Here is an 8,532-nt window from a genome sequence, read left to right as displayed (position 1 = left end):
TCGGTCTCAAAAAAAAAAAAAGGAATTTCCTCTTTGATGTATTTTATATCCTCCCCCCATATCTGTCACTCCTCTCTGTACTCATTTCTATCATAGAACTTACTGTGCTAAAGTGTCGTCATTGTTTTTTCTCATTCATCTCCATCCCAGACCAATAGCTCCCTGAGATCACAGCATTTCCTCAGTAGCTGGCACATAGGAAACTGAACAACACACGTTTGAATGAATGAGCAAGAAAAAATAAAATAGGAAAAAGAATTATTAGTATCAGATGGCTCATGTAGCACTAAAAATGAAAGAGAAAGTTAGATGGTGATGTGGGAAACAGGAGGACTGTGGCTGCCAACTGTGAGGCCATCTGCAAGCACACAGCAAGAAGCTCTTGATTAATAATGTGAACCCATAACAGGATGAAGAAGGTGCAGCTGAGGCTTTGCACAGAATACTCGGTGACAAAACCCATAAGGACAAGCAAAGGGTTAGAAGACTCCCGGGGACGCAAAAAGTGTGTTGGCCATTCGGGCTCCTGAGGGATGACCAAGCCTTAAGGGACGCCTCTCACTTGGTGCCTGGTCCTGCCAAGCCCTTTACTGGGTTTCTTGACTGGGTTTCATTACCCCGCCCCGCGCCACTAGTGGAAACAGGTAAAACCTGGAGAACTAGGTCCTACTTTAGGGGCCGTTCCGGGCATGCGTCATTACCCGCGCACGCAGGCGCAGTAACTTCTTCGGTAACTGGTACTGCCCATTTCCGATATGGGAAGCGTTTGCTCAGGCTTCCCTAACTTATCACCTTTCCTTTGGGCCCCCGCCCTCCTGTTCCTGTGGGGGAAGCCTCGCGAGATCGCCCTGGGCAGTACCCGGCGGCGCCATCTTTGTGCCTGGCGAGCGACGGCGCCCGACGGAAGCCCTGAAGCCAGAGCTTGCTTGCCAAGCTCTCGCTCAGACCGGATCTAGGAAATACGAGGCGGGCCTCGGTGGGAGGGACGCACTGAGGGAGGAGGGAGGAAAGGGGGCGGCGGCGGCGGCGGCGGCTCACACCGGATCCCGGCCCTGCACGGCGCGTACCCTGGGGGTTCGGGCGGGGAAGCGGCGCCGGCCCGGACCCCCCGCGGGAGTAGGCGACGGGCGTGAGGGCGAGGCGGCGGCGGCGGCGGCCAGAGAGCAGCAGCCGCCTGGTGAGTGTCCGCGGGGAGGCCCGGCACCTGCCCGAGCAGGGACGTCGGGGGCGCCCCCGGGATCGTCCCAGTGACCCTGTGCCTGAGACGGTGGGCGTGTGCGCAACTGCGGCGTCCCGGGGACTCACCCCGGCCCGGGACTGCGGCTGACAGCGGGAACTGCGGGGCTGCCGGAGGTTTGCGCAGGGCCTGGCGCGTCCGCGCCCGCCCCAGACGCCCCGAGAGGCCGAGGGGAGAGGGAGTGGCTGGGGTGGGGTGTCGACTTGATTGGCCTTGGTCCCCCAAACGGAGGGGACGATGCCCTTCCTCGCCGGACCCTAGGCATTGCGGAGAGTGAGCCTCTGTGGACCGGCTTTAAGCCCCCAGGAAGGTGTTTGAGGATGAGGACTAGCAGCACCAGCGTGGGGGCCGTTGAGGGTGTTGAGAGATGTGAAGGTTAGTAGCAGTATAGTAAGAATTGTTGGAGAGGAGGTTTCCAGATGACTGTTGGTAGGTGTTGAGTAAGGAGAAAACACTGCTTTCCTTTAAAGATCGCACAAGCAGTCCTCTGAGGTCCAACAACAGATTAGAGTTATTCCCAGTTGGAGTTCTGTAGTTTACTACCGTGTGCCAGCTCATAAAGTGCGTAAAAGCAGGATTTGAAGGGTGAGGGACAGGTGAGGCATAAAGTAAGCTGCATAAAAAGATCCAAAGTTTGTTAATGTGTTAAAGTGTAAATCCTTCTGTTTCTACTGAAATGTAACTTATTTAAATTATTTAAGAAAACTTGCCACCTTTGGTCCAGACCGGGCTTGTCAGTTCGATGTGTTTCTTCAGTGACGTTTGTCAATCAGGCAGTCATTTTGGCATACAGTATATTTACTTCTGGTTTCTAAAAGAACAAGAATGAATGAGAAAAGGGAACAGTTTGGCAAACTGAGCTTTCTTTGCGCACTTTTTCATTTTGAAAGGATAAGAGAATTTACTTTTTTCTTTGCTTTAGTAATGATTTGCAGTAGTATACAAGAACACGTGGAAGAAGAAAGGGTTTTTTGAGATGAGAGTTTAATTTTGCACAGTGTTAAATTATAAAGGGCCTCATCACCCATGGTAAGTTTTGTGATGGTGTGTTTTATGAACACCGGAAGAATACAGGCACATACATATACATGCTTTTTAGTCAGTGTGTGATATGAATCTTTACAACCGTAGGGACAGCCCCCGCCCCCACTTGCTTACAACTGGCTTAATCAAGGGAAAGACTTCAGTGAAGGTAAATATTAAATATGTGATTTTCATCTTCACATCTGAAAGAACATAATCTGCATTCAGTCACCCTGAATTTTCATCCATATGTTTATTTGATGGAGTCTTCCCCTCAGTTATAGATACCACATTGTGTACAGTTTGTTGGAGCAAACAGAGCTAACGTCGATTATATTCAGGCACTGGAGATCCTCACAGCTACCCTATGCTAAAGATAATGTTATGCCGATTGCACAGAACAATACTAACCTCCAATATTCTTTGGCGACTTCGCTGAGGAGATTATATAGCTGGTAAATTGCAGAGCTAGAACTCAAACTCATGTAGGTCTGATTCTAGAGTGTGTGTTCTTTCACCATACTCTGCGTAAGTTTTTGTGCTGACTGATACAAATTTTATGAAAATGGAAATTTGTGTTACAAAGAAACCTTTCAGTTCTGTTGGTAATCTTGAAAGCTTTCAGTGTCCTTGGCTCCAGATAATCTCAAGGTTTTTTTTTCTTTTCAGATGCGTCCATTTTCTAGCCAGAGGTAACATTTGAGCTAGAAGTCTGCTGATCTGTAAAGAGATTCCTGATAGCTGGTAGTGACCTATCTGAAATTCAGATATTTTCAGTTACTTTGCCTCTTGTGTCAGCATGCCCAAGATACTTCAAAGAACAAATATTTTGTTTATTCTAGTCCTGAATAGTATTTCAAATTACATTATTACATGGCAACTATCTATAGGGGTTTGAATTTGCTTTATCAGCTTGGAGGTACACATACACATCCCTGCCTTCTCCAGCAAGTGGAGTACTTGACAGCTGACCCTGTTTTTCTTCTCTTTAATAATTTGATACAAAGGTTTTGGACCCTATTCATGATTTGCAGAAAAGACGGCAGCTCTTCTGGGATCCACCATAATCTGCTATGGGGCAAGGGAATGAAAGACCTTAACAGGTTCCCAGGCAGTATCTGAGGTGTTGATGAAACAGCAGGAACATCTTGCCAGTGGTCACTTTTATCTCCCACTGGTCTTTGCTGTTGCATTTCTTATGTGCTGCAGAGCCTGCTCAAGAGAAGGGCTCCACATCTGAATAGAGTTGAAGTGGAACAGCCACAGAAATCAGAAAAAAAGAGAAAAAGATACTAAATGTCTGGTAGTCATCCTCCACCAAGTCACTTAGTCAGGTTTAGCTGCCTAGTTAATTATCTCTGGCTGAAAGTTCTAGAAAAGTTTTGAAATTTGGGGTTTGCTGCTTCATCTTTTAAGAAGTACATTGTTTGGGGGCCTTCAGTTAAGTAGTCCTGTCTTCATGGAAACAGAAAAAGGAGTCTTGTGTTCCTCAGTACACATCAGTATGTGTGTGTATTATGTAGCTTTAGAGACTGTTTTAAGTAATCCCTTGGCATCTTGATGGGCAATCTGTGGTCTGAATAAGTTTTTAAATATAGTTATACTCCCAAGAAAGCGTTAAATAAAATATACTTCCTTACTTGTGAAAGTAATTACTCATGGTATTTGGGCTATTTATTAGGGCAAAAAAAAAAATCAACAAATGATAATGTAACTGAATGCTTACCAAGTAAATAAAGCCTTTCTGAAATGATTTATATTGCCACCGTATAAAGATAAAACACCAGGAAATTGCCTCATATCTACTTATAAGTTTATTTTCATACCTTCTATATGGTAAACCTCAAATTATTACCATGGCCACAAATATTTATTTCTCTAAAAGTGAAATGGACTTGATGAAATATTTGGAACTATCAAACTGAATTAATCCTAAATAAGAACATTTATTATAGTTTAATTCATGGACAGTTCTATTTGTCCAACTCTAACATCCTACTTCCCTCCCTGCTTCAAATTTCTCTACTTTCCATCCTCTCCTTCTGATGCTGTTCCTACCATTTACCTGGCACCCTTAGTTTTCCATTGACACTGAAGTCTTTGATAGGGTGGATGCTAACAAGGAAGGCACCAAAACTCCTCCAAGTCCCTTCTCCACCATCCCGTGCTCTAGGAGGTCAAGAGGGATGCGGATAAGATCTCTTACCCCACCCTGTTCTTTCTTGAAAAGGAGGATGAGAATAGCCAAGAGTGAGGGAGGCACTGTCAAGACCCTCCAATGGTTTCTCCTCTTCTTCCCTCTCCTTAAACACCAAGGAGGAAAGTTGGTAAAAGCCCACGTGCTGCAGGAACAGGCACTGTACACTCATCCTCTTCAGCAGGCCGCCATCTTCGCACTGTTTCCTCACTCCTTTCAGCTGCCATCCCCCGCTCCATCCTTCTTTCCCAGTTGGTCTTGCCTTCCTCATCCCTGGATCTCCTCCCACCCCAGCTCTGCCTTTTTGCCCTCCTTCATAGTGGAAGCCGAGGTCTGTGGTCCTAGGGAAGCTCAGACTTCCAGTTATGGGAGGGAAGATTTCCTTTTTCTACCTCCAGGGCTAAATGGGTCAGGAGTAGTTGCTGTTATCCTAAGTTGGAATGCTAAATTGATTTTCCTGTAGAAACATTGCCCACACAGGTTCTGTGTTTTGTTATACTTCTGTAACCTTTTGGACATTTAGGCTTTTGTGAGCGGGCTTGGAAACCTAGCATATTGATCATTGTCTCCTGGAAAGGCAAAGTCTGAGTTTCAAATAGATGATTTTAAAAATCAGCTTGTGCTCCAGAAATTGTTGAGGGTTGCCTGCTTTTTGTTAATTATTCACTGAAATGGTAGGTATTAATAGTACACCTTTAGCTGTCCAGAATTAGATTTATGTGGATCAGATGGCTCTTGTGGGAGATAAACTGATAGGCTTTTTAGATTGTCAATGAAGAATTTCTAAATTTAGGCACATGTTTTGAAATAAAATTTAAGTTAGTCCATCTCAGCCTAATATTGTCATTAAAGCGGACAGATCTTGCAGTTTTGTTGAAAGAGCATAGTTTTGGTTTTTCATAAAAGGAATATCTTGTTCCCACCATGAATTACTGATGATTTGAAACTTTTCAAAGGTATTGGACCTCTTGCAGTTATTTTACCCTCATTTATTTAGTGTAAACATGGGACAGTGTGTTTGTTTTACTTCAAGATTTTAAAATAAAGTGTTAGCGTGTTGAGGTTACATACTGTTACCACTGTTTGTGATGTTCAGACAATTAAGTGAGGGATATGAAGGTAATAAAAACAAAGCTAAGTACATTTTAAATTTGTTTTCCATAAATGTGTTCAGTCTTATATTGGTTGAAGGAAATACTCCTAATAAAAGGCAAGATGGTTTTTTTTTTTTTTTGGTTTCCAAACCACTCTTTCGTTTGAAAAATGACTTTCAGTAAGCACGCTGTGTTCATTTTAAGAGTTTACCAAGTTATTTAATTACACAGCGAGTGCAGAGGTTAAAAATATGATCTCGGGGTAAAATGCCCAGATGTTCAGATCTGACACTAACTAGCTCTGTGTTCGTGGGCAAATTACTTAATCTCTGACCTGTTCCCTCATTTTTGAAGGGATAATGTGGTACCTACCTCATACAAGGATTAAATGAGCCAGAGGATGTATCATATTTAAAACATGCCTAGCAATGGTGAATACTCAAAAAGAGTTAGTTCTTATTATTACGTTGTCGTCATCATTACTACTATTATTGTTATTACTTTAGCTACTTTCGAAGATGATACGCCTTCTGTTCTGGGGTGTGGGCATGAAAGATATATTTGTTTACCTGGTAGCAATTTTTTAATGCAGAGTTTATTTGAGAGGTTCAGGGAGAGAGCAGTATGTTAACTGCTGGATATATCCACAATTGGCCATAGTGCAGGAAATTCATAGAATATTAAGCTTATTTTTTTCAGTAACACCATTCCTTTTGTTAGGTATAAAGAACTATGCCTTTTTGATGTTTGAGCAAAACTAGATTATTTGAGTAATTGCAACGTCTTTATTAAAATACAGTTATCTTGGTATCTAAAGGCTAGAGTCTGTGCAGGGGGAGCCTCAATTTCTAAATGATCCATTGGTAAGACTTTTTTTTAAGCAGCACCATTTTCCCACAGAAAAATGTCACATAATAGTGTTCAGATTCCCAAGCCAGCCCAACATATCTGAATTTGAATACTGATAGTATTATAAAAACTAACTTTTATGTGTAACAGTGTCTCAGCAGGAACATGCACTGAGTACATCAAGTACTGAAAGATTATGAACACAATCTTGCAGATATGGCAGTAGGGCTATCTTCCTTTGCAGTCCTAGCAAGGACCGTCAAGCCTTGGGAAGAGAACTCTCTCCTCTGGTAGAGGCCGAGGGTAAGTAGTGGAGACTGGTCTCTAGAAGGCAGTAGCTTTTTTCTGGCTTGGCTCCTTAAAAGGCTGTATAGTATAGTGGTTAAGCGCATGGACTGTCCACTCAGAGTGCTTATCTTCAAATCTCTGTTCTATTACTTACAGAACTTCCCATCTGTAAAATGTAGGTAAAAGTAGTGCCTCCCTTATGGGGTTCTTGAGAGGATTAATGTGTTAATACGTGTGTAGTGCTTAAAATAGCATCTGACCCATGAGTGAGTGCATAAGAAGTGTTATGTATTTTTTAATTATTCAGCTTGACTGGTCTAGGATCTCTAGAATACTTTTGTCTGCTTGGCTGTCCACTGCCCACATCTTTTGCACTAAATAGGATTCTTCTCTTTCCTTTCTACTGAGGAATGGTTTCAGACTCTTCATTCCTGCCTGAAGTATTTTTTAAGGGGTTTAGGGGGGTTTATTTTATTTTTTAATGTTGGAGAAATAGCATTCTTCTGTGAACCCACTCCATTTCCCCATTTAGGCCTTGTGTTGATGGAGATCATCATTTGAAGAAAGATATTGACTATGGGCATTTAATTGAGTCAGAATTGAGGTGCAAATTTCTCAACTTTTAGTAGTTTTTGCTAAGTCATTTCTTTTTAAATAAGCTTTTTATTTTGGAATAATTTTAGACTTACAATGAAGTTGCAAAGATTGTACAGAATTCCTATATACTCTTCATCCAAGTATATATAACCCTGGTACCTTTGTCTAAACGAAGACATTAACATTGGTACATTATTGTTAGTGAGACTGTAGATTTTACTCGATTTTACCAGAATCTCACTAATGTCCTTTTGCTGTTCCAGGATACCATGTTGCACTGAGTTGTTAAGTCATTTTTAATTATTTGTTTTTATATCATGGAGCCCTCCAGTTCTTTAGTGAATAGATTTCTGTGGTTGTAAAGCCATTTTCTGTTTTAGTTTTAAGTTTTCTGCACATACTCGAAGGCTAGGTGTTTCCTCTAGGGATGGCAAGTCCAGGGATTTATCTTGGCACTGAACTTTATAGGTTGAAATAAAAGGAGAGAGTCCTATTACTGTGGAAAGAACACTATGGTGATGGAGTGTAGGCTAAAGCATTTTTATAATTTAAAACTGTGTTTTCATGGGACTAAATGAGTTATTTTATGCACTATTCACTTTTGATGGATTTGATTTCAAAATGACAAGTCATTCTTCCTATTAAAAAAGTGTTAAGCATACTTCTTGGATATAGAAGCTAATTGAAATGAATTGGAGAATTTAATTTTTTAGTACTCATCATAGTTATGATTGATTTAATAAATTAAGTTAGTATAATTTCAGTAATTTAGAACATTTGTTTATATGCGCTTTTAGAAAATCCTTGGTTTCGATTTGTGGCAACAATCCAGTCTTTTTGTTTTTTTCAGGGATACCATATGTAACAGGTGCCATTGTTACTCTAACTTTTCACACATGCCTTCAGTTTGATGTCAAAGTCATCATTTAGTGTAAACAGCAAGTTATCTGTTAGGCTGCACATCATGAACTTTACTTTTAGAAAGTCTTATCTTTTATGCCACAGAAATAGCATTTGGCTATTAGTCATGGATGGCAAAGAAATTAATTTTGAGTTGTTTGGATAAAAATGTTTCAGTTGACTGTAGTGTGTATTGAGAGACACTGCCAGTAAACAAACTCTCTTGGTAGGTGGAAATCCCCTAGAAGTTACAGAAAATTGGGAGGAGGTGAACTTAATTAAATAACTTGAATTGTTTAGACATATTCAGAGCTTCTTATGACCTTGAAGAAATCACCCAACTTCAA

At 41.5% G+C, this 8,532-nt stretch overlaps 1 protein-coding gene across 11 annotated transcripts in view, besides 2 other annotated features; it reads left to right on the top strand.

Moving 5' to 3' along the window:
- Nucleotides 662-831: an enhancer, noted in NCBI's record as "active region_29510". NCBI's record gives its function as "activates an Ori minimal core promoter by ATAC-STARR-seq in GM12878 lymphoblastoid cells {active_cell/tissue: GM12878}" and the evidence as "EXISTENCE:reporter gene assay evidence [ECO:0000049][PMID:35858748]".
- Nucleotides 992-1,381: a silencer, noted in NCBI's record as "silent region_20727". NCBI's record gives its function as "represses an Ori minimal core promoter by ATAC-STARR-seq in GM12878 lymphoblastoid cells {active_cell/tissue: GM12878}" and the evidence as "EXISTENCE:reporter gene assay evidence [ECO:0000049][PMID:35858748]".
- The window catches only part of TAB3 (TGF-beta activated kinase 1 (MAP3K7) binding protein 3), a 61,813-nt gene continuing 54,317 nt past the window's right edge, over nucleotides 1,037-8,532 (top strand). For 9 of the 11 annotated variants that reach the window (XR_950433.2, NR_174362.1, NR_174361.1 and 6 more), the window contains exon 1: nucleotides 1,037-1,177. The gene's annotated coding sequence lies outside the window, so the exon portion shown is untranslated. Of the gene's footprint in view, nucleotides 1,178-1,445; nucleotides 6,704-8,532 lie in introns of those variants that run through there. The other 2 variants (XM_017029400.2, XM_047441986.1) reach the window with 2 other exon arrangements.

The sequence above is a fragment of the Homo sapiens genome, chromosome X (genome assembly GCF_000001405.40).
Source record: "Homo sapiens chromosome X, GRCh38.p14 Primary Assembly".
Lineage (NCBI taxonomy): Eukaryota > Metazoa > Chordata > Mammalia > Primates > Hominidae > Homo > Homo sapiens.
The sequence above is the reverse complement of the archived record's forward strand: the minus strand, read 5'-3'. Positions and strand labels throughout refer to the sequence as shown.